This window comes from Homo sapiens, chromosome 1 (assembly GCF_000001405.40).
Source record: "Homo sapiens chromosome 1, GRCh38.p14 Primary Assembly".
In the NCBI taxonomy this organism is placed as follows: Eukaryota; Metazoa; Chordata; class Mammalia; order Primates; family Hominidae; genus Homo; species Homo sapiens.
In genome coordinates this window covers 170268890-170295752 of record NC_000001.11, presented here as the reverse complement: position 1 = coordinate 170295752, position 26863 = coordinate 170268890, and the positions used below count along the sequence as shown (strand labels likewise).

The 26863-nt window shown below is 37.1% G+C and overlaps 1 long non-coding RNA gene across 1 annotated transcript, besides 1 other annotated feature; it reads left to right on the top strand.

Annotated features, from left to right (window-relative positions):
* Positions 8122–8291: an enhancer, noted in NCBI's record as "experimental_1277 CRE fragment used in MPRA reporter constructs". NCBI's record gives its function as "activates a minimal promoter by MPRAs in K562 erythroleukemia cells, with activity observed for the introgressed 1:170256688 variant allele {active_cell/tissue: K562}" and the evidence as "EXISTENCE:reporter gene assay evidence [ECO:0000049][PMID:34662402]".
* LINC01142 (long intergenic non-protein coding RNA 1142) lies at positions 11545–24348 on the top strand. Its single transcript, NR_026957.1, has 4 exons — positions 11545–11614; positions 16821–16923; positions 21246–22220; positions 23772–24348. It is a non-coding gene; the product is annotated as a long intergenic non-protein coding RNA 1142 (long non-coding RNA).
* Positions 24349–26863: the final 2515 nt, after the last annotated feature.

Sequence of the window (26863 nt, the reverse complement as noted above, 5' to 3'; positions counted from 1 at the left end):
TTATTGTGACTTGAGTTTTCAGTATCATATGTCAGGTTCATTTATGTTGACATTTATCTAATTAGATAGTTTATATTACTGCAATACATTACTCAATTGTATACACAGTTCACATTTCCCTAATGCAGAATAGTTAGGTTGTTTTGCTTTGTTGATGTTATAAACTGAGCTAAAACAATCATCCTAGAGCTTGTCTCCTTGCACATATGTGTGAGAGCCTCTCTAGGAGAGACACAAGTCGTAGTCTTTCTGAATATTGATGTGTTCAACTTAAATGAATGTTGCAGTTTCTTCTCAAGGTCATTGTAACAATGTAGAGTTCTACAGTCATGTCCTGGGGTTTCTATTTCTCTACATCTTCACCATCATTTGGTGTTATCATACATTAATTTGGTCAGTATGATGGTCATTTAATATTATCTACTTATTTGTAATTGTAATTTCCCTGGTTTGTAATCAGGTTGAACTTTTCTTAATACGTTTAATGGCCATTTTGGCTTCTTGCTTCCGTGAATTGTTTTTTTAAGCCATTCACTCATTTTTCTCTTTAATCTTAATTTTTTCTTTTTAATCTATATTAGTTAATTATATATTCTGAATACAAATACTTTGTCAGTGTGACAGTCAGTAGTGCTACTTACTGATACCCAGTTCTCCTTTCTTTTTTGGCACATAAAGATTTAATGTCCTGGTTCCCTTGGGAATAGATGGATCCATCTGACTAATTCTGCCAAATGAATTATGAATAGAAGTGACGCAGGTCAATTCTAGGTTAGAACATTTAACTGCCAGTGTTAATCCTTGACATTTTTATTTTCCTCTTTTATGGTCTTAGCAATGACCAAGATGTGGGTGCTCCATCAGCCTGGGTCTCGGTGTAAATTAAAGTGCCCACTGCTGACTCAGTGGGCACGTAGCATGACCAAGATATAAACTTTTATTGTTTTAAGCTGCTGAAATTTTGGTGTTATGTCATAACCTAGCCTATCCTGATGAATACAATTGGTTATATGTGTTGCAAATAACTTCTGTCCATTGGTTTTACACTTTATCTTTTATTTTAATGTAATTACATTTATCAATCTTTTATAATTTTTGCCTTTAATGTCTTGTTTTGTAAATTCTTTTCCATTCAAAGACATATTTTAATCTAACATTTTTAAATTTTTCATGTTTTGGAATATATTTTTGTGTGTAATACAAAGTAAGACTAGTTTTATTTTATTTTTATACATAGATGACTAATTTTATAAGCTCTATTTATGAAACAGCTGAACTTTTTCCCCCACTACTTTGTCTATTTGTCAATCCTGCACCATTACCTCACTGTCTTAGACTTTTTTTTTAGTGGAAGTCTCTGAATGATAAATTCTCTCTGTTTTTGACTGAAAATATTTTTATTTTGCTTTCACTCTTAAATGGATAATTTAGCTAGTATATAGAATTTTAGATAGACAGTTGTTTTCCATCAGTGCTTTAAAATATTGTTGCATTGTTTTTTGACCTCAATTGTTGTTATGAAATAGTTTTTTCTCATTTCCATGGCTGTTACTTTATAGGTAATCTATCTTCGCAATCTGGTTGCTTCAAAGGTTTGGTCTTTGGTGTTCTGCAAATTCACTACAACATTCACAAGTGTAGATTTATTTTTATTCCCCTGTTAAAATTTTTGTGAATCTTACATAAAAGGATTCATTTTTAAATTAATTCTAGAAAATTTAAAAACACCATCTCTTTTATATTTTCTCTTCACCATTTCCTTACTCTGTACTTCTAGACTCCAACCAAGTAAATGACTCTTCTTGACTTATTTTTTATACATAATTTTTGTCTCATTATTTTTCACTCTGTGTCAAATTCTTTTGAAATTTTCTTATTTCTAATGTTTACTCGTTTCTCTTCAGATACTTCTGATCTAGTATTTAAACTATTTACTGAATATTTAATTATAATAACTTTTTTAAAATTCTTGAAGTAAACTATTTTTAAAAAATATTTCCTTTTCATGTCTTATTCACTTATTTGACTTCATTTTGTATGCTTTTAGCATAATCATTTTAAATTCATATTGTTAACAAATTATCTCAAATTCTTGGAGATCCCTACCTTGCTTTTTATCATATTTGCTAAATTTCACTCATGACAGATTATTTTTCTGAATGTTTTGTAATTTTTAACAGAAACTTTCCTTTAAATGGGGTAGATTTTTTTTCTCTGACAATTTTTTGTACCTATGGGTGAAATTCCAAATTAGTTTAATGTTTGCATCTCCCAATGACCCAGGAGTATTACCAGACACAGGCCAATTTTACTGTTATTTTCTAAGCTTAGGGTTTTCTAGATCAAGTAGGCCATGCAGCTTTAAATCTCAAACACTTGCCAAAGAGAGTACCATATTTATAAATTATCAGGAGATATCCTTTTCATTCTCCTCTAAAAACCCAGATAGTGGTATACAAGCTTCCTTGCCATGTCTATATATCATTGGTAGGTAGGTTTTTTTTTTTCCATCTCACACTTTAATTAAAGATACAACCTTTTCAGATCCTGGATCTGTGTAGATGGTCTTTGTTCTAACTCTCTGCCTTCCATACTCTCAAGGCATCACCGTCTGTGTCTATAAGGCCGAAAGTAACTATGTCGGTAGTTTAATGACAAACACACCTCATATACACGCATTCCACCATTTTTTCCTTCCCCACTTGTTTTCAGTCTCCTTTTTGAGTCTGGAACCTGACACTTGCCCATTCTCAGCTATGACTACAAAAGAATGTTTGCTATATTTTATCCAGCATTTCTAGATTTTTGTATTAGAAAGGTATACAGACTATACAGTATATCAGTTTACTAGAACTGTAAGTATATTATCCAACCATTTAAAAGATATATATTTTAAGTTGAGAAAAAGGAGAAATGTGCATGAATTTCATTTTGTGTTTATTCTAAAAATAAAGCAAAAGGGTAAAGCTTCCCTGGCCTACTTATTTCTGACCATATTTATCTTTCATAAAATTTACACAGACATAGCTAAGTTATTTCATTTCCTACTGTTAAAAGAATTTCCAAAGCTTTGAATTTACCAATGTAAAGACACTTTCTAGAATACAGTCACTGAATATTACTCTATGTTGATACCCTAAGGCTGCCTAAGTTAAGACCGGCCTGTTACTAGTTATGTAATCTTAAACCAGTAATTTAATATAGGAATAAATATCATATCTACCCCAAATAGTTGTTGAAAGGGATAAATGAAATAAGAAAGTAATATACTTATTTCAGTGCCTGGTCATAGTAGGCACTATGCTGAGTTATATTATAAATAAATGATGACAATAATAATTGTATTTGGTCACCAAATTCCAGATGACCCTGAAGCACCAACCACATTTGGTTCAAAACAGATCTTTTGTGGCATCTAATTATCTACACATCCCAGCTGTCATTGTGAGGTTTAAGAAGATCAAACTCTATGCTTTGGCATCCTTTCTAAGGCTAGGCTGAAACACTAAATTTTATCATTATGTATGTAACTCTGGAATTCTTTAAGTGTTTAAATTAATTAATGTAAGGGATAAACACTGAACATGGCACCTGGTGCTTTGTGGGCATATGTCAGTTTTCTTCCTATCATTATTATTTCATGTCTTGCCACAAATCTAGAAGAAAAGAATGGAATGCCAAGGCTTGAGAAATGTCTGCCACGTCAGTGTCAAGATTGCTGGATGACTGTTTATTGAATATGTAAATGAAAACTTCCTTGAATACCCCCGCTCCCACTCCCCTTCCAGTTAATCAAATTTCAGCATTTGTTAACTAGCATTCCTGCACTGGTCTATGTCTTAAATTAAGTGTACAGAAGGAAGTTTATAAATAAATTCAAGCTATTCAAAAGTAATCACTATGAGTTATTTGATCACATAAAGAAATTATGCTGATTTTCCAGAAAATGGTCACCACATTTTCTTGGCCATGCTACATACAGCACGCTTGGAGATTGTTCACATGAAAGACTTGGCTAGTAGCTTTTTTCATTAGCCTGGAACTGATTCTGACATTGGAAGAATTATAAACCAGGATTGTCCATGCGAGGCTACTCAGCGTAACTAAGCAAAAAGCAAAAGTACCTACTTTTCTAGAAGACAAGGCCAAAAATCGTGGTCAATAATCTATGTTGATTTTACATTTTATCTCATGGATGATATTGATTTCAGTATGTTTTATCTCAAAATACTTTGTAAAGTTTCCACTTACATATCTGGTAAAACTAGAGTGTCTCTCTGCCAATTTTTTTTTTTTTTTTTTTTGCAATAGTGATCTCTAGGTACATTTGTGAAGGGAATAATGAAAATTTACATGAGTGTCATGTCCAAAATTAAATCTCATCACTTTTGAAAAACTATGTTGGGATAAAAGAAAGTTGTATAGAGTATGGAACCCAGATCCAACCACAAAATGTTTTGGAATCCTTGCATAGAGTCTGGATAAATCTGTTACCAAAAACATATTGTTTCTGCCCCCTGGGAAGTAGAGATTTGACATAAAGTCTGAGGCAGTGCATCACTTTGAGCTGGAATAACCTTCCCAGTGAGGATTTCCTTAAGCAGACGAATAGGGAAGTTTGAGTCACTGTGACTGGAATGAATTAAACTGCTTTTCACAATAATGTAAAGGGTTAGAATTAAGAGATGACAATGTATTTCAGGAAATTGTTTCCTTTAGAGGAATATTTCTTTCCTAGGTACATATTTAGATTACACTGCTTAATCTTCGACTCACGTATGTCTGTTTGTGATGCTAAACTGTCCCTCCCACATTGCTGGCCATGAGCGATCAGGCCTAGAGAAAGTTAATATAGGTTCAGTTTGCACTTTATTACTTGTAAGCTGTCTTGCCTTCCATAGGAACTTAGTATGAGCAGCCATTCCAACTACGTCAAATCTCTAATATATATGACCCTATATTAAAATCTTTGCATAATTTATTCTATCCTTCTCTTTCTTAACACTTCCATTGACTCTTCCTCTGTTTTGTTAACACCAGCTGCTGTAATGCCAAAAGTAATAGAAATATACTACATAAAGTCTACAGTAAGTCTTCCTAATCACTGGCCAGTTCTCCTCTACATGGTGATTTAAGGACCCAAGATGTTGTCATCCTCAACATGTGGCTTCAAGTTACCATGTTCATTTGCATCAAACTGTTCAAGGGAAAAATCACGGAGTTTGAAGCATAGGACATTTTTATAGGGTAGATATTTCAGTAGTACATATTGCTTCTGCTCAGATTACACTGGTTAAAGCTAGTCACATGACATGGATTTAATAGAGACTGGAAAATATATTCTTACTACATGCCCAGGAAGGAACATAAGTGGGTTTGGCAAAGAGCTGGCCAGTAATAAATCACAGTCTCTTTGTTTCTTCAACAGTCTAATTTTTTTTTTTAGTTGAAAGTTTACAGTTTTCCTTGGGAAGCTACAGTTCTACTAATTTCTAACTAATTGCAACCTGGGGGAAGTGAGAAATTTTCATATTATAGAAGTCAGAGGAGTTAATTTGCATGCAGTAGTTCTTAAACTCCATATGTGTTCTAGTCTTTACAGTCACTTGCTGTGGATCAGGAGGAGCCAAGACCAAAAAATATAAAGAGGGACATGGAAGCACGATCTTCACCACATGTTAGGGAGGAATAAAGAAGGGACGCAGACCAGGATTGCTAAAGTCCAACATGGACTTGGCTGTTGATCTTCCACCCATGGGTATGATAAATAGATTCAAAAATAGGTCCAATTGAATCAATACAAACAAACCTCAATTATCTCCATATAGACTTAGATGAACACTTCTAATATTTACAAATTAGCAGAAACTTATTCTGGATCTCTGTAAATATCTACTCTAGGACAATTTTTTTTCTGCAAAAGTCAGTTTTCAGAGGGTATGGAGCTGGATCAATGTGACTTCCTGTCAATATAATTGAGTTAATTGAGCCTGGATCATATAAATTTCAGAGCCCAGATAGGTTGGTATGACATTGCAGTATTGAAGATTCAAAAAGTCACCCTAATTGAGGACTCATTGACTATAGAGACTAAAGGTGTATCCAATTGGTGCTATCTGACATTGTTTTTTCAGCTATACCTCCTGACATCTCTCCAGAACTACAAAAATAAAGGTGCAATATGCCCTCACTTTCCTGACACACATTAATTATGTATAGAGACAGATACTAAACATTTTAAATGACCGAGAGAGGTTAATTTATATATTTGGGCTGAGACTTAATGTTTAGCTTCTTAAATTCAACAAAACACTTTTCCAGGCTCTTTGGAAATGTGAAGAAGGAATGACAATGACTTAGCCTAGATAATTTTAGTGATGTTGTAGGATGAGATAAGCAATACATACATTTAACTATAATATATGAAATAATAGTAGTGCTGAAGCAGAAATATAAACAAGATATAATGGCAATACAGAAGGGGAATGGATTAATTCTATTTGGGCAGTATCTTAAAGGGCTCATAGGAAAGATATTTAAGTTGCATTTTGGAGGAAGATTGGATTACAGATGCTAGAATGATGTAAGAAAATTTATGTGAGCAAAAGTGCAGAAATAAGCAAGGTCATATGGTTAGGGAGTAGAGAATAATCTGATTTCACTGGAAGGAATTCATTCATTATTCGATAAATATTTATTGAGCACCTATTATGTGCCAGATACTATTATAGGCACTTATGATACATCAATGAACAAAAACAGATTAAAACATAACAAAACAGAAACCCTGACTTGGATCCTCTTATGGGAAGGAGGAGTACAGAGAATGTAAGAGACCATAAGATAAGAGGAAAAAGATTGAGGCCATCATATTGAGCACCTTAAATTATTTTCTAATAAGCTAAGGAAGCTGAGTTTAGAATGTGGATTTGGAAATCCTCGCATACATGTGAGAACAAAAATCTCTGGGCATAAATTGGGTTTATTTATCCCAGAGAACAAAAATATCTGGGGATAAAATGAGGAGAGAATTTTGAAGAATGGCAACAGTAAACCAAGAAGGCAGAGAAAGAGCTGGTAGAGCAGACTGAAAAGGAATTTTCAGAACATAAGGTTTCTGAAGGAAGGGAGAGCACTTTTCTTTGCACCACTGAATCTTCAGTGTCTAACACAGCCCTCTCAACAGAGCAGGTGCTCATTTATCTTTTAAATCCATGCATTATTGAAAGATGTCAGGAGATAGCATTAGGGAGGAAAAACTTTAAAAAGTGAGCAGAAAAATCTTCCCAGTTGTTAAATCAGATAAGTTATTATGCTGGTTATTCTCTTTGCCCCTCGCAATCCTTTATCTGTCTCCTGAACCCCCTAGAGGGCTGACCTCTACAAACTGTGTTACTTGAGCTTCCTGCCCTCTGTCTTTAGATTGGGTTAACCAATGGGAGACACCAACAGAACATCATGGGTAAAAGCAAAGATAAGTAAGGGAATTTCTTCTGCTCCCGCTCCCTGATGGTCTATAGTTTTGACAGAAGCCGATTTTCCTCTACTAAGACCACAGCTCATATCAGGCAGCTACAGCTCTTGCTTATTTCTGGTAACACTTCTTTCTCCACTTGCCTTCCCGCTCTTGTTGATCTCTGGATACCTCATCACCCTGCTTGGATTCTTTAACCTCCCACCGCGTTATTTCACCTCACCAAAATTCACTTTATAAAATTAAACCCTTTGAATGTGCCATTTCCTACTAGATCATGACTGATGGAGTCATTAAAATCTTTTAAGAGATCATTCATAACACTTTAGGGATACTGTAAAGGCTTAATTAGGTGGGGGAATCTAAATTCAGGTAGGATAAGTCAGTTAGCAATTAGTGGGAAAGTAGAGGCTGTGAGTAGAGACTTCTCTTGAGTAATGTAAAAATGAATGGAAGGAGAAATGGCATGATGTAAAGAAGAAAGGGCTAGGGAAGATTTTTCATGTGTCTATTTATTTAGGATGAGGAAAACTTCAGCCTATAAACGTGTTCAACAGAATGCACCAATAGAAAACGAAAGAGTAGGAATTTAAGGTTCAGAAATAATAACCACTGGAGCCCTATCTCAGAGAAGTCAGGTTTAACACTGGTTAAAACCTGTGAAAGAAGTAGGGACACTTATTCTGGAATAGAAATGAAAAATGTAAGGTTGGTGGAAGACAGAGATAGAACTAGTGATAGAAAACGAGAAAGCTGAGGGAGGTTATATCTGAGGGTCCCTCTTCTCTGGGCAATATATGATGAAGCAGTGTTTGCTAATACAGTCATAGGAAACCACACATAATTTCAGATAAACAGAAAAAGGGAATGAATTTGAGTTGTGAGTTTAACTTTATGAAATGGGTGTTGAGAAAGAGATTTTCAGAACTCTGCAATTTCATCTTTTATGTTGCAACAATGAGTAGGATAGATCAGAAAAGAAGAAAACCGCTGTATTTGTAGAAACTGCAATGGTCTAGAGCAAGAGTGAATGAGGGTCTGACCTGAGCAGAGAAGAGTGAGACTAAATAGGATGCAGCAGAGAGTCTCTTCATGCATTTACTATATGCACCGTGCCCAGCTTTATATAAGGCACAATGGAGACTCTACAAAGAGCAGAGAATATACTTCCTACCTCAAAGGAGCTCACAAGCTGGCTGGAAAAGCAAAGATATATAGCAAAGACTGGAGTATTGAAAACAATATCAAACTAGGGGTCAGGCCCAGATTTCTAATCCCTGCCTGCCATTAACTCAATATCAGATGATGCATCAGGCAATTTGCTTTGTCATCTGCACCTCAGCTTCTTTATTTGACCAATGAAGCAGTTAAAAATTGATGGTTTCTTTGGTTTTTAAATACCATTCTTGAATAAAAGGAACCAGGGTTCCTTGGAGAAATACCTAATGTGAGGGCTGAGGCAGGTAAAATAGAAGAAACTGGAGGATCTTGTAGTGCCAAAAGGAAGGAAGTGCTCAACACACAAATGGATGGGAGCATGTCAAAGGAAATCAGAAGCCAACCCAAAGGCACTGCCAATGGCCAAAGTTGAAGTAACTTGTTCAACAAAATAAATAACATAGCATTAGATTATAACCCAAAATATGAAATACTAGTTGGCTATCCTTATCTGAAATGCTTGAGACCAGAAGTTCTTCTAATTTCAGACTTTCTCAGATTTTTGGAAATTTGCATATATATAATGAGATATTTTAGGGATGGGACCCAAGTGTAAACATGAAATGCATTTATGATTTTTATATACATAGCCTAAAGGTAATTTTATACAATATTTTAAATAATTTTGTGCATGAAACAAAGTTTTGACTGCATTTTGACTGCAACCCATCACATGAAGTCAGGTGTAGACTTCTCTACTTGTGGCATCATGTCAGTGCTCCAAAAGTTTGGGATTTTGGAGCATTTCGGGTTTTGGATTTTCGGATTAGGGATAATCAATCTGTGACTCTACATAAGTGCATACCAATATAAATAAATGACTAAATTTAAAAAATGAAAAGTTAAATCTTTCTTACAGAAGAATTTCAAATAATATATGTAACTACTCCCCCCACTAAAAAAAGGTGAAACTTGACACCCCTCTACACATACCCTGAGAGTAGACTAGGCTTAACGACTCCACCCCAAGCAATAGAATAGGGAAAGGGAAAAATAGTAACTTTACACTTTTCTCCTTTACAGGAGAAAGATGGCCAACATGACATTAACCAAGTGATGAGGGTTAACATCCCCAGAGATGTCATGTGGTTATCATATACCCTCAATAGAATATGATGAGAAGGGCATTTCACCTCTATGGTCTTCTTCCCAGAAACCCATAATCCCAGTCCCAGTCTAATTATGAGAAAGACATCAGACAAACTCAGATTGGAGAACATTCTACAGGATACCCTGCCAGCACTCCTCAGGACTTCCAAGGTCATTTTTTTTTTTTAAAAAAAGGAAAGACTGAGAAAAAAGAGGAAAGACTGAGAAACTGTCACAAACCAGAGGAGACTGGGGAGAGATGACAACTAAATGCATTGTGCTACCTTGGGTAAAATCCCGGACTAGAAAGAGGACATTAATGAAAAAACAGATGAAAACCAAATAAAGCCTGGAATTCAGTTAATTAAAAAAAATTGATGGTCTCTAAAGTCTCTTCCAGCTGATAGCTATAATAATAGCATTTATTATCTAATTGCTTCAAAACTGTGTTCATATTGCTTACAAAGTGCTAAGAGCACATGAAGTAAGGGAACTATTAAAGTAGAATGCAAGGCTTTAATCAACTTTTTCCTCCCTCTCTCTTCCGACTTCCTGTAGTTGTGTGTTTCAGTGATGTAGTGTATGATTAGTTCATTTTTGAGGCAATAGCGTAATAGTGAAAGTCTGCTGTCTCTTGTTTGTTACATTGCCAAGTCAGTGCCCATCCTCTTTTCATAGTAAGAATGGCCTCTAATGAACCAGCAGTTTTCCATCCGTTTGCAGTCCTGAGCGGTGGGGCTCCCGTGCTGTCCTATCATGCTCTTACGCGGTTGCTATGGTGATGGTCATGGTGGCAGGGCTACCTTTGGCTCATTTGATTTTCCTGGACAGTTTCTTTGCTTTAAAAAAAAAAAAAAAACATACACACACACACAGTTTATGAAGCCCCAATGTGAAATCATGCTGGCTCTGATTCATGACATTTTCCTGAGACTTTATAATGTTTCTTTTTTCTAAATAAGCAATTTCAGGTCAGGTAAAAATGTGAGTAAATCATGCCTGGCTCTTGTTCCAGATGTATCAATTTCTGTTCATTCCCTTTTTTCCCCCCTCATGGCTTTGGGACAATAAAAATAAGCAATGCCTCCACTCTGGAGCCTTTCTGAGTATGCAATATATAAATGGTATACCGTGCAGGGAGCGATATTTCCTTACCTTGGTCATTACCGACCTTAGCGTTTTCTCTGGCAATTATCTGAAACAGAGCAATAACGTGGAGTAATGATCTTGGCACACTTGAGACCCTGGGAGGATCAAAGAGGCTGATGTGACAGTTCATGAAACGGGGAGGAAGCAAACCGTCCCCCACTGCCAACACTAACACAGCTCTGTGCTTGAGAGTCTGGGAGAGTCCAGTTGCCAAGTGTCTGCCTGCATTTTCTTTGAGGGGGCCAGCCCCAGAGCAGGTCAGGAAAATTGTGGCTTTTATCAAGCAGACACTGTGGCTCTCTTTGAGGATGGCCAAAGACTCACTCATTGCTAGTAACTGCAACACGTGGTCTTTTAAAGAGAGGACATGAATATTTTCATTAACTGGGAAAGAAGGTGCCCACATGAGACTTCATTTATTTGGGAGACTTAGGGCAAGGCTGAAAGGGGCAGATGTTTATAAAGAAATTAAGAGTGAGGGCTCTGGAGACAGACTGCCTGGGTTTTAATCCTGGCCCTTTAAGTTACTATTCTGTACAAGTTACCATTCTGTACAACGTAAGCAAATTCTAACCTCTCTGCCTAAGCTCCCTATCAGTAAAATGAAAGTAATGGTAATACCTACGTCACAGGCTGTCCTGGAAATAACATGTGAGAAGTACTTAGAATACTGCTTGGCACATGGTAAGTCCTCAATAAATGTCAACTGCTATCGTTATTTTCAGGATAGGAGGGTGGTATCCAAATCCTGGGCTTACACAAGGGGTTTTTCATAGAGAGAAGTCCACAAAGGTAGAAAGGGTAGTCCTTGATGAGCCTTGAATGGACTTGGCTGAAGAAGTTTACATTTTTATGTAGCCTGGGCAACAGAGTGAGATTCCATCTCAAAAAAAAAAAAAAGAAAAGAAAAGGGCCTCGTGAGGAAGAAACTGGTGGTGCTGTGGGTTTTGAATTAGAGGTATACTCTAGAAACTGACCCTGATAAAATATCCTGCTTTATCTCTAGCTCTTCCCCATATAACACAGAAAGATATTCCTATCATTTATTATTGTGTCCAGCATATAAGTATTAAAAATTAAAACATCTCGGTAATTTAACAAAATTTCTTTTTTTTTGGTCTCTTTTTTTTTTCATTATTATACTTTAAGTTTTAGGGTACATGTGCACATTGTGCAGGTTAGTTACATATGTATACATGTGCTATGCTGGTGCGCTGCACCCACTAACTCATCATCTAGCATTAGGTATATCTCCCAATGCTATCTCTCCCCCCTCCCCCCACCCCACAACAATCCCTAGAGTGTGATGTTCCCCTTCCTGTGTCCATGTGTTCTCATTGTTCAATTCCCACCTATGAGTGAGAATATGCAGTGTTTGGTTTTTTGTTCTTGCGATAGTTTACTGAGAATGATGATTTCCAATTTCATCCATGTCCCTACAAAGGACAAGAACTCATCATTTTTTATGGCTGCATAGTATTCCATGGTGTATATGTGCCACATTTTCTTAATCCAGTCTATCATTGTTGGACATTTGGGTTGGTTCCAAGTCTTTGCTATTGTGAATAATGCCACAATAAACATACGTGTGCATGTGTCTTTATAGCAGCATGATTTATAGTCCTTTGGGTATATACCCAGTAATGGGATGGCTGGGTCAAATGGTATTTCTAATTCTAGATCCCTGAGGAATTGCGACACTGACTTCCACAATGGTTGAACTAGTTTACAGTCCCACCAACAGTGTAAAAGTGTTCCTATTTCTCCACATCCTCTCCAGCACCTGTTGTTTCCTGACTTTTTAATGATTGCCATTCTAACTGATGTGAGATGGTATCTCATTGTGGTTTTGATTTGCATTTCTCTGATGGCCAGTGATGATGAGCATTTTTTCATGTGTCTTTTGGCTGCATAAATGTCTTCTTTTGAGAAGTGTCTGTTCATGTCCTTCACCCACTTTTTGATGGGGTTGTTTGTTTTTTTCTTATAAATTTGTTGGAGTTCATTGTAGATTCTGGATATTAGCCCTTTGTCAGATGAGTAGGTTGCAAAAATTTTCTCCCATTCTGTAGGTTGCCTGTTCACTTTGATGGTAGTTTCTTTTGCTGTGCAGAAGGTCTTCAGTTTAATTAGATCCCATTTGTCAATTTTGGCTTTTGTTGCCATTGCTTTTGGCATTTTAGACATGAAGTCCTTGCCCATGCCTATGTCCTGAATGGTATTGCCTAGTTTTCTTCTAGGGTTTTTATGGTTTTAGGTCTAACATTTAAGTCTTTAATCCATCTTGAATTGATTTTTGTATAAGGTATAAGCAAGGGATCCAATTTCAGCTTTCTATATATGGCTAGCCAGTTTTCCCAGCACCATTTATTAAATAGGGAATACTTTCCCCATTGCTTGTTTTTCTCAGGTTTGTCAAAGATCAGATGGTTGTAGATATGTGGCGTTATTTCTGAGGGCTCTGTTCTGTTCCATTGATCTATATCTCTGTTTTGGTACCAGTACCATGCTGTTTTGGTTACTGTAGCCTTGTAGTATAGTTTGGAGTCAGGTAGTGTGATGCCTCCAGCTTTGTTCTTTTGGCTTAGGATTGACTTGGCGATGTGGGCTCTTTTTTGGTTCCATATGAACTTAAAGTAGTTTTTTCCAATTCTGTGAAGAAAGACATTGATAGCTTGATGGGGATGGCATTGAATCTGTAAATTACCTTGGGCAGTATGGCCATTTTCACAATATTCATTCTTCCTACCCATGAGCATGGAATGTTCTTCCATTTGTTTGTGTCCTCTTTTATTTCCTTGAGCAGTGGTTTGTAGTTCTCCTTGAAGAGGTCCTTCACATCCCTTGTAAGTTGGATTCCTAGGTATTTTATTCTCTTTGAAGCAATTGTGAATGGGAGTTCACTCATGATTTGGCTCTCTGTTTGTCTGTTGTTGGTGTATAAGAATGCTTGTGACTTTTGTACATTGATTTTGTATCCTGAGACTTTGCTGAAGTTGCTTATCAGCTTAAGGAGATTTTGGGCTGAGACAATGGGGTTTTCTAGATATACAATCATGTCATCTGCAAACAGGGACAATTTGACTTCCTCTTTTCCTAATTGAATGCCCTTTATTTCCTTCTCCTGCCTGATTGCCCTGGCCAGAACTTCCAACACTATGTTGAATAGGAGTGGTGAGAGAGGGCATCCCTGTCTTGTGCCAGTTTTCAAAGGGAATGTTTCCAGTTTTTGCCCATTCAGTATGATATTGGCTGTGGGTTTGTCATAGATAGCTCTTATTATTTTGAAATACGTCCCATCAATACCTAATTTATTGAGAGTTTTTAGCATGAAGGGCTGTTGAATTTTGTCAAAGGCCTTTTCTGCATCTATTGAGAGAATCATGTGGATTTTGTCTTTGGCTCTGTTTATATGCTGGATTACATTTATTGATTTGCGTATATTGAGCCAGCCTTGCATGCCAGGGATGAAGCCCACTTGATCATGGTGGATAAGCTTTTTGATGTGCTGCTGGATTCGTTTTGCCAGTATTTTATTGAGGATTTTTGCATCAATGTTCATCAAGGATATTGGTCTAAAATTCTCTTCTTTTGGTTGTGTCTCTGCCCGGCTTTGGTATCAGAATGATGCTGGCCTCATAAAATGAGTTAGGGAGGATTCTCTCTTTTTCTATTGATTGGAATAGTTTCAGAAGGAATGGTACCAGTTCCTCCTTGTACCTCTGGTAGAATTCGGCTGTGAATCCATCTGGGCCTGGACTCTTTTTGGTTGGTAAGCTATTGATTCTTGCCACAATTTCAGATCCTGTTATTGGTCTATTCAGAGATTCAACTTCTTCCTGGTTTAGTCTTGGGAGAGTGTATGTGTTGAGGAATTTTTCCATTTATTCTAGATTTTCTAGTTTATTTGCGTAGAGGTGTTTGTAGTATTCTCTGATGGTAGTTTGTATTTCTGTGGGATCGGTGGTGATATCCCCTTTATCATTTTTTATTGTGTCTATTTGATTCTTCTCTCTTTTTTTCTTTATTAGTCTTGCTAGCGGTCTATTTTGTTGATCCTTTCAAAAAACCAGCTCCTGGATTCATTAATTTTTTGGAGGGTTTTTTGTGTCTCTATTTCCTTCAGTTCTGCTCTAATTTTAGTTATTTCTTGCCTTGTGCTAGCTTTTGAATGTGTTTGCTCTTGCTTTTCTAGTTCTTTTAATTGTGATGTTAGGGTGTCAATTTTGGATCTTTCCTGCTTTCTCTTGTGGGCATTTAGTGCTATAAATTTCCCTCTACACACTGCTTTGAATGTGTCCCAGAGATTCTGGTATGTTGTGTCTTTGTTCTCATTGGTTTCAAAGAACATCTTTATTTCTGCCTTCATTTCGTTATGTACCCAGTAGTCATTCAGGAGCAGGTTGTTCAGTTTCCATGTAGTGGAGTGGTTTTGAGTGAGTTTCTTAATCCTGAGTTCTAGTTTGATTGCACTGTGGTCTGAGAGATAGTTTGTTATAATTTCTGTTCTTTTACATTTGCTGAGGAGAGCTTTACTTCCAACTATGTGGTCAATTTTGGAATAGGTGTGGTGTGGTGCTGAAAAAAATGTATATTCTGTTGATTTGGGGTGGAGAGTTCTGTAGATGTCTATTAGGTTTGCTTGGTGCAGAGCTGAGTTCAATTCCTGGGTATCCTTGCTGATTTTCTCTCTCGTTGATCTGTCTAATGTTGACAGTGGGGTGTTAAAGTCTCCCATTATTAATGCGTGGGAGTCTAAGTCTCTTTGTAGGTCACTCAGGACTTGCTTTATGAATCTGGGTGCTCCTGTATTGGATGCATATATATTTAGGATAGTTAGCTCTTCTTGTTGCATTGATCCCTTTACCATTATGTAATGCCCTTCTTTGTCTCTTTTGATCTTTGTTGGTTTAAAGTCTGTTTTGTCAGAGACTAGGATTACAACCCCTGCTTTTTTTGCTTTCCATTTTCTTGGTAAATATTCCTCCATCCCTTTGTTTTGAGCCTAAATGTGTCTTTGCATGTGAGATGGGTCTCCTGAATATAGCACACTGATGGGTCTTGACACCTTATCCAATTTGCCAGTCTGTGTCTTTTAATTGAGGCATTTAGCCCATTTACATTTAAGGTTAATATTGTTATCTGTGAATTTGATCCTGTCATTATGACGCTAGCTGGTTATTTCATGTGTTAAAAGCTGCTTTAAATTTTGTATTTTTACTTTTTACTGATACATAATATTTTATATTTTAAGGGAGGTGGATGTGATATTTTGTTACATGCATAGGTTGTATAATGATCAAGTCGGGATAGTTGAGGTATTTATCACTTTGATTATTTATTATTTCTATGTGTTGGGAATAATTCAAGCTACTCTTTTCTAGCTATTTTGAAATACATAATACACTGTTGTAACTATAGTCACTCTACTCTGCTGTTGAACAATAGAAGTTGTACCTTTTATCTAACTGTATGTTTGTACCTGTTAACCTACCTCTCTTCATCCCTGCTTCACCCACCCACCCTTCTCAGCCTCTAGTATCTATCATCTGTTTTTAAAAGTCCTGCCCATTTTTTCTTTCTCTCCTACCCCTTTTTCCTTCCTTCTTTCCATCAATAAAGATGTAATAAGTATCTTCTCTCTGGTAGATACTGTACCAGATGCTTCCATATTTGTTTTCATCAGCCCAGGTGTTTTTGGTTTGTTTTGTTTTCCTATTAAAGCTTCACTGTCAATGATGATGGCAAAGAGCCCTGAATAAAGCACCATAACAGTCGTTTCATGAAGTTCTCTTATAAAGGCTCACACTTTATAAGAAAAGTACTATTGCAACGCTTCTTGGGGGATTCTCCAAGTATTCTTTGAGGCCTTCATGATCTCCCTTTTCAGTGCACCAAGTCCCCTCCAAGGAGAGACCCTGGGTAATGATGATCTTTGGTGTCAACTAAGATTCTTAAGAACTGGATCCTCGTGATTCCTATGTGACCTGAAGGTAAGCCAGCAACTCAATTTATCTCATATTTGGTTTCTTAAACTAATACTTTATGAATACTTGCCACATGCTGCAAAATAAATAAAGCACATATATGGACAAATCATTTTGATTTGGGATTCTTTAATAAAAATAACAGAAATGGCAATAAAGTCATGATTGAAAAAAGTTGTTATTTTAGTGCTGAATTCACTGCTTCCTTCACGGAGTTTTTCCACATCCTTAAGGAGGTTAGAGTAACTTTTAAAAAATAAACAACAAAGTGACTGGAAAGTAGATATTAAGCAAGAGTGATGCAAATTCTGTGTATCCTATGATTTAATTAAAGAGACCATCTCATAGAAGAGCAACACTGAAAACTTCTGCAGAGACAATGTACTGCAGTGGAGAGAGCACTGACTTCAGTGCCAGCTGTGAGACCTTGAACTTCTTGGACCTCAGTTTCCACCTCTACAAAACAAGGAAGTTACAGTAAAATATCTGTAAGATCTTCTCTAGCACAAAACGCCTAGGATTCTCAGGACCACTTAGCAAAAGCCTTCAGTATAAATTTCCAATCATTAATTTGGAAAGTTCTTAGAATTTAAAATAGTCATAATCTCTGTGGTTCTGCTCTAGTCCACTCCGAAACTCACACCTTTTGATGGGTTAACCAGACAGCATAGTGTTTTCTCAGAGTTCTTTGTTCTGAGTAGAGTTATGCTCCAGTTCTACTTCCTCTGATTTACTTATTCCACATTGTATTAAAATTTGGCATCCAACTGTTTAATAAAACTCATTGCACCACAGTTGAAAGCTCCAGATTATTTACTACCTAGCATCTTCTTAAATTTATTCCCACATAATAAGAGTGTGATATCAGCTGAAAGAACATTTCTAAAATCTGTATTGTTCTTCCTGGAGGCAGTTGAACTCAACTTTCAGGGTTTGATCATCTTATCAGTCATCAAAGAAATGTAGGGCCAGGATCAAGTATATGGCTATTCTTGAATACTGCCATCACTTGTGTCTAGGTGAAATTGAGTTGAATGAGCAAAGGAGGCTAAATAATACTTTTTTTCATAGCTTTAAGGTTTAAGATAATGTATATAAAGTACTTGATATGTGGGAGACACACAGTAGGTGGTAGTCATTATCAAGGGATATGTTGATTTATTGAGCTCAATTCTCATCAAATCTCATTCCCACACAAAGCTCGTGCTAAATAGAAACCTGCACTTTCCCATAACTATCATGCTTTATTTTGCCTCTGAGCCATCCCTTCTGCCTGTTCCAATGCCTCATCCCACTCTTTTTAACTGATGAACTCCTATTCAACATTTTGAATCTCGAGATCCATTCATAAATTCAACAATATTTATTGAGGACCTGCTATGTCCAAGAAACTGCTCTTGATGTTGTGGATATACCAGGGAACAAAACAACCCAGAACACATTCGTGTTTTCTCCTAACATGCCTTGTAATTACCAGCATGCTCATTTTTATCCCCACTGGATTGTACACTTGCCAGGAGTGAAGACAATGCCTTTCTTAAAAACGCAGCACTGAGCAAATGTCTGGCACAAAATAGCTGCTCAATAAATACTAAGTAAATACAATTAAGAATAAGAAATGAGAATACATAGAAAGAGGAATGGGACAATACCTTGGTGGTGTTATTGGACCACTAATTACAACAGTAGCATATGAAGAGACTATTCAGGCTGTGATCAATTGAACCCTAGAAACCTTTCTGGTATTCACTATGAACCTTATTCTCAAAAATCACACAAAAAAATGTATTAGTCCATTCTCACACTGCTATAAAGATACTACCCAAGTCTGGATAATTTATCAACAGAGGAGGTTTAATTGATTCACAGTTCCGCCTGGCTGGGAGGCCTCAGGAAACTTAATCGTGGCGAAAAGAGAAGCAGATACCTTCTTTACAAGGCGGCAGGAGAGAGAAAAAGTGTGTGTAGGAGGAAATGTTAAACACTTACAGAACTATCAGATCTTGTGAGAATTCACTCACTATCACAAGAACAGCTTGGGGAAACTGCCCCTGTGATCCAGTCGCCTCCCACCAGGTCTTGTCCTTGACACATGAGGATTATGGGATTATAATTCAAGATGAGATTTGGATGGGGACACAAAGCCAAACCATTTCAACAAAGGAGAATTATACATCTGTCTCAGTCTAGGTACAAGTTTACATTTCTCTAGAATTTTTATCCTTTTACCACAGGGGGAATTTTTTTTTTAAACATGCTTTTAAGAAAGCCACTAAGGCAAGAGAGAAAAAGGAATAGGACAGTCCCAAAGGAGCTGAGGTATAGACCAATGGATCTTGCAGGGTATTTTCAAAAGACTAGTCAAGAAGGTGGCATTTGTGGAAGAGGAGCATGAAAGGAATATCACGGAAAGGAAAGAAAACCTAAAACAGCAGAAAGAAAAAACTTTTATTAAAAAAAAAGAAGCACTATGGAGGAAATACATCAATAACTAAAAACATGAAAACAGCAAAAACAATAAAAGTAGTAAATGTGATTATGGATTGTACATACAATTGTTTTATTTGATTTACTCACCAGCTCTGTGGGTTCTGTAAGGAGGTATTATCCTCCCTATTTCATAGATAAGGAAACCAAGATGCAGAGACTTGCCCAATTACATAGCCAGTAGTTGAAGTTCTCTGACTTACGCTCTAAAAATATTCTCACATAGAAAAGGGGAAAGATAAAAAATCAAAGATAAGAATGAAGAGAAAGCAGTGATTAATAAACGTTTGTTGCATGAGTGGGACAGAGATATGTAAAAGGAAAGACTGAAAATACAAATTTCAACTTCAATGGAGAATATTTCTCTGGGGTCCCTAAACATTTTCAAGACTTTGGCTCCTGACTCCTACAGATATCATTGTAGATATGATGTAACTAAGTGGAAGAAATCCCCATTCTTGTTTATAAATTAAGAGATTAATTAATAATAGTAAGTCAATTATTATTTGTTGACCAGACTGTCAGTCAGGATTGAGGCAGGAAAGAGATGGCTCACTCAAAGGGTAAAGAGCATTTAATGAAGGGACTATTTACACATTTGGAGGGAGGGAGAATAACCAAGGGACTGCTCATAGTGGGAAGTGGTCTTTACTCGTGGGCCTCGAGGGCAATGAATGAGAGGGAGCACAGACCCCAGTGAGCACTGCAGCCATGAGAGAGGGCTTCTTGACAAGAGCTGAGGTCTCTGGGTGTCTGATAGGAGAATGCAACCATGATGGTGACAGTAGAGAGAAGGATGCTGTGCCAAATGCCTTCTTTTCCAAAAAAAGATAAAATTAAGAAATAAAGATGGGAATAAGGGGAAGAGATGAAAGACTGTACTACTTCAACAAAATGTGAAAAACGAGGAACAAGCATCTTTCTTAAGGTGTGGGAATTTAGAAAATGGGGAAATATATATAAACTTTAGTTACATTTTCCAGTCTTGTCCACTCATTCTGCAACAGTGTAATGAATCTACTACACTGCAGTCATTCAGAAAACTTGGGGTTAATGCGACAATAACACAAAATCCCTGTCCCCAAAGAAATCAGTCCACAAGGACAGACATGCAAGTGAACAACAGCAACAAAACCAGTATAATATAATGTTATAAAAGAGATACACACACAATTCCGTGGTGCAAAGACAGCAAGTGCTATTCTTGGTAGAGTTGGAGAAGATTTGCAAATGAGAGGGACATCTGAATGGCATTTTAAATCAGCAGTTTTGAAAGACCAGGGAAATAAAGGCATCTCAAGTATGGGGAGTGGCTTGTGTCCAGGTGTGGAAACTCTAAAGGACCTGATGATTTAAGGAACTGCAATAATTCAGCATGGCTTGAGTTTGGGGTGGTTGTGGGGAAGTATTATACTAAAGACCATTAACTTGACTCTAAGTAACAGTTGAAGATTTTAAAGCAAGAAAGAGATATGGTTACATTTATGTATTAGAAAGACCATTACTGAAGTATTGTTTCCAATTGAAGGAATGGAATGGGTGGGGAGGAGGAACAGTCATGTATAAATTTATTTCCTCTAAATTTCTTTCTGTCAGTCACTTTTTTCATCTTTATTGTATTTGCTTGATTTTTTAAAAAAGGGGGGACATTTTAATCTGAGATAAGAAGAAGAGAAGTGCAGAGTGAAAGATGGGGTTTATTTTCACATCGGTGTCATTGCCTTGCAGACATTATGGTGAGGGGCTGCAGGTAAAGGAGCTCTCCTGCTCAAAGACTGACCTTGGTAGGACCTTGGCCACCGATCTGCATTCAGGGAATTTCACTTCTCTTTCCCTTCTAGATGTGGCCAGTCCACCACCAAAGCAAGGAAGGAGATATGAGAAGGAAGTTTCGTCTCCTACCCAGTGCATCATTACTGGCAACAGTGAGAAGCAGAGCTGGGAATTTGAGAAGCAAACCAATGCCTTCTGCTTCTCATCATTATTCCTGACAACAGACAGAAAAGAGGCAAACCTTCACCTTCTGTGGTCGCTTCTGATACTCAGCCGGGAACCTCATTCTCAGTAGCTACAGATTTCCCTAATCACTCATCTTAACTTGACACTGCGTTCTAGTGCCTTTCGTGAGAAGGGTCTTGGGAGGCCATAAACCTATGTTGCTGGGAAAAGAATGTACTGCAATAAAGAGAGCAGGAGAGGAGCTGCAGATTTCCAGCTCTCACAGCTTGTTCACTTGTGGAGACTAGGCTGCAATGTGCTCTTGAAATCATTGGGGTGGGCCTTGTTTCTGAGGAAATAAAGAGGCCCCAGAACCTCCCAAGTGAGCGAAAAAATGATTTCCAGATACTCAAATGGAGTGGCCTTCTGGCTACATGAGCTGGATGTGCTTGGCAGTCTTTCCATCTGGCTGGCCAGTATCCTGAGGTTAGCAAAGCAGAAGGCAAATCTTTGGGGAGCTAAAAGACATGTGCACGTGCCAGTATTTTTGACAAATGCTCAGTTAATTGTTTTCTATGATTCTTCTCCCGAGACACAAACTGTGTGCACCAGGCACCAAGAACTATCCCCATCCCACCACCCCAGATCCCAAGGGAAACTTCATAATTACACACGTTTGGGCCAAACATCTACCCCACAGGAAATGGACACATCAGCCCCTAGGGATGAAAGAATGATGCAGGGCATGGGAAAGCAGAGAAATCTCCTGAGTGAGAAAGAAGACAAATTCACAGAAGCCTGAGAGCCTATATACCAGTAGGAGAAACTCAGAATTTCTTTTCAGGATACTAAGGAAATGGTGGTCAGAAGAGGCCCGGGTAAGTTGATGAAAAATCTGTATTGTTCTATATCTGGTAAACAATTTAGTATTTGGAAACCACAACATTCCAGGATGGAACTCAATTTTGGATCAGTTACTGGAAATAGTGGCATATACAATGGGTTCCAAAACAGATTATGCATAAGTAAAGATGATTCAGGAGTCTAAGCTTTAAAATCCATGATCTTCATGAATGCTTTTTTCCAGATCTAGCCCTTATACGATTTTGTCTCTTTTTTGTTCTACAGCTTTTTCTAGTTATATTTAGCTCCTGCCATTTATTCATCAAATATTTGTAGTTGCGCACTGTGTAGGATGCTTACATACTATGCTCTTGTTGAGTTAGAAAGCTTTAGAAGATATAGCCCTCTGAATGAATGTTAGCTGGATGAAAATCTCACCTGTACACACCCATGTTGCTTACTAGAGCAACAGACTGGAATAGTAAAGAACCCCACTTCTACTACTGACACTGCTGGAGAACTGGCTTCAGCAGAAGATAACTCAATTTCAACATATGGTATTTTTGCCAAATGTTTTGAATCAAGAGATTTGTGCTCTAGGTATAAAATCTAACCTCTCTATATATGTTTTTAAAGTAATTCTTGTTTGCTTCCACTAAAGGTAGATTTTATAAGCAGTGACAACATAACATACTAAGTCAATTTAAAGATCTGCAATCTGAAGTTTCTTTAAGAAAACTAAGATAATGTGTTACTTATTTAAGGATTAATTATCCATTCTCTTCGGAATTCAAAATTTTCAGAGAGAATAGAAACTCCTCAAAAAATAGTTAAATTTAAAAGGCATTGAAATCATAAAGGTGAAACAGATATGTAGTTGGTTAATAGATTTTACATGCCTGAGAAAATCTGTAAATAACTTCAATAAAATGTTTACTGAAAGAACAAGAGTACAAGAGAAGCAAGTATCAACAACAATGGCAAAGCAAAAAAAAAAAAACAACTTGAACAAAAAATTTGTCACCAGGAAATAAATAAGTCAGATGAGAAGCAGTATTGGTAAATTCAAGTTTAAAAATTTGACCAACACATTCAATATAAGAAGTAGAAGTCAAATAAAATGAAATAAAGGCAAGGAAAAAAAGTCTGAGGCAAAGGGAAATAAAGGAAAGAGATTGAACTAATTTTTGCTTTACAAAAATATTTTAAAAATACAACACCTTATGATTGTTTAAAACCATATTAGCTTATTTTAGGAAAAATAATGCTTTATTTTGTTTTGGCTTGTTTTTCAACGAGGAGATAGCCCAGTCTGTGTGAAATAGAAATACCAGCAAGAAGCATTTGTTGGATTAAAAATATATCACTACAGCTCTGAAATTAGTATAAGGCTAATTACTATAAGGCTATTTGCATAGAGAGTGCACTTTAATAAGCATTAGTAAAACATTTTAGAATGCTTTGTTCGAAAAATAAAAAAATCCCTCAATGAAGCCTCTTCCAGACATGTGTCATGGGTTTTTTGTTGCTGAATTCTTCCATATTAACAAACTAAGTTGCTCTTCCTTTCATTCCTTTGGCCACAGGACGGATGAAATTCACCAAAGTCTCTACCACAGACATTCTCAGATGGTCCTAATAAAAAGAAGAAACCCAAACCAGAACTGGTGGTCCACATTGTGAGAGTTGCTGAATATCATCACAAAGCAATAATTATCCAACAGCATGCTTGGTGGCTCAACATTCTGAAAGGCAAATGTCAAGGGCACATAGTCTCAACCATGTTGCTGATGGGAGCTCATGTTTTTTGTGTTGGGTGGTCTTGTGTTCTGCCTGGTGGTCTTTCTTCTGCCTGCTATGACAGCACTAATGATTTCATGTACACAGTATTCACTTGTCTCCCTTTAGTAGTGCATGACAAGTCATAAAAGACAGACTGCCCAGAAATGACACTGCAGTATTCCAGACATTTTCTCTCTTGGTGGTGACAGTTCCAAATCAAGCTGGCTCAGTGCTTTTAAGTCAAAGCATTTGTCGAAGTGGCAGTTTGAAACACAGCCTTAGATCTGGAGAATCAAACTAGGCTCTTCTCACCTCTCCCATCATTGCTGGTAATAAATATTCAACTGCTGGACCACAGCTAGCAGATTATGATAGATGACACAGAATAGAATCCAACTCTTTCTTTCTTATCTGTGAAGAACTCCTCTTTTGGTTAGAGAGATTTCACTACCTTTTAATAAGCATAAGTAGGTCATTTTACAGAATTTCTTCTGCACTCATTCAGGATTTCTTTCCCAAATTCCCACAAAGAGTAGCAAGGGAAGCTTCATAGCTGCATAGAATATTAATATAATTTCTGTTCAGAGGATCAACGTATCACATACTCAAAAATCAATCCAGGCAATTATCAAGGTTTTAACTCTAAAGAATGTATTAGAACATTCTTCATCAGAAGTTGACCTATAATTCTGTATAGGGCAATCAGACCAAGAATTTACTCTCAATAGACTTGGGGCCATCATTTAGATTAGGTTTGGGGAATTCAGTGCTACTCCCCACAAACCACCCATCCCAAATGATCTTCCTGCAAAGTCCTACACTCACTGCCTCTACTATTCACTGGCCATTTTATTACTTTTGGCCTTTTATTGTGGTTAAATTTTCATAATCATTCTTTTGTTAAACGAACATAAATTGGGTCTCTGTTAAACCTTTTTAAGACCTAGAAAAAGCTTCTAAACAGGAGTGATACTTGAGCTGGCCATTCTAAGTGCTTCTATCACATCCTTAAGAAATATTTGATGCAGAACCTGCCATGCTATATTGTAATCATTTTGCTTCATTGACTGTTTCTCCTCCTTTATTATAGGTTCCTTGAAAGCAGATACCAGACATATTTATCTTCCCATACCAGTGTCTAAACACTGTGCCTGGTTCATAGCACAGGGTCAATACATGTTTTAACGAGTAGATTAAACTTGGCCCATTGGAGGGGAGAGAGTGATTACAAGGACAAATAAGATTTAGTTTTATCCCTTAAGGTCTTTCTAAGTTAGCACATGGCTAGGTACAGAGTAGATGCTCAGTAAGTGCTGGTTGGTTAGTCAATTCTCAGTTATTTTTCTTCAGATGGAAAGACAAGACTACCAAAATGAATATATACCAGCAAAGCCAGTTACTGTTTTATTTTGAAATATCAACACCTTTCCTTGCTTCACTCAGGACCCCAAGTACTAATGAACAAGAAAGAAACAAAGCATAGGGGTTGTTTATCATACCAAACACAATATCTGAAGCCAAAACTGAGACACATAGTCTTGCACCAGTAGAGGATTTTTTTTTTTTTCTTTTTGAGACGGAGTTTCTCTGTTGTTGCCCAGGCATGATCTTGGCTAGCTGCAAACTCCGCCTCCCGGGTTCAAGCAATTCTCCTGCCTCATTCTCCTGCCTCAGCCTCCCAAGTAGCTGGGATTACAGGCATGTGCCATCAAGCCCAGCTAATTTTTTATTTTTAGTAGAGATGAGGTTTCTCCATGTTTGTCAGGCTGGTCTCGAACTCTTGACCTCAGGTGATCCGCCTGCCTTGGCCTCCCAAAGTGCTGGGATTACAGGTGTGAGCCACTGCGCCCAGTCCAGGAGAGGATGTTTTAAAATAGAACCATTCTGGATCAACCAAGGTGTTTGGTTCTTAGTACTTTTGGTCTCTAATATGCCTCAAGAATTTCCAGTTAGACCTTGACAATTATGTGAGAAAATAAATATAAAAACACTTTAAAACTGTATGACACACAATGAAAAGATAAGTGCTATAAATAGAACCTGTATTTCTGCATTAAAAATACATGGACCAATTTGGTAAGTGCACACATGAAGAAATAGTGATTTGAGACATTTCCTAATTCACTTATACTCCTTTTTTATTAGTAACTTAAAGCACAAGATCTATTGTAAAGTCAGAACTAAAAAGGACCAGAGAAGAAGAGGAAGTAGGTGACAGAAGAGTAGAATATTGTAAGAGGAAAGGACTTAGTACAGAATTATACAGCCCAACAGAGAAAATTAGAAACTGATTCAACATCTATTAAACAGACTTTAACTGAGTATCACTGAGTGTCTCTGAGGTCCCAGGCATGAAGCTAAGAGCTGCGAAGCACATCAAGATGAATAAAATTCAGCCTTGTGAAAGAAAGCTTACAGTCTGCGGGTTGGGGTGGTGGGGTGGTGGGTGCGGGAAGGGAAAAAAAGACAAGTATGTATACAAATACATCAGAAGGGAGAAGTAATTATAGCCGGAAGAGAAGTTCAGATAGAGTGCTGTTGTAATTTAAAGAAAGAAAATGTGTCTTCATTAAAGGATGCTTCAGGGTAATTTCATAGAAGGGATGTTATATAAGCTCAGTCTGAGATAGAAGAAATTCAAGAGATAGATAAAGGATGAAGAACACTACATTTGGAATTAACACTGTAAGAAAAGCATAGAGGTAGGAAACTTACTAGCTATGTTTAATAAGCATCAAGTACTCCATTTCATCTAAAGTTCAAGGTATGCATGAGGACATTGTGAGAAATGACGCTGAAGAGTAGACTGTGGCTAGATTATAGACAGCAGCCTGGAATACTAAGCCAAAGTATTTGGGCTTTATTCAGCCATTTTTGGGAGCTACTCAAGGTATGA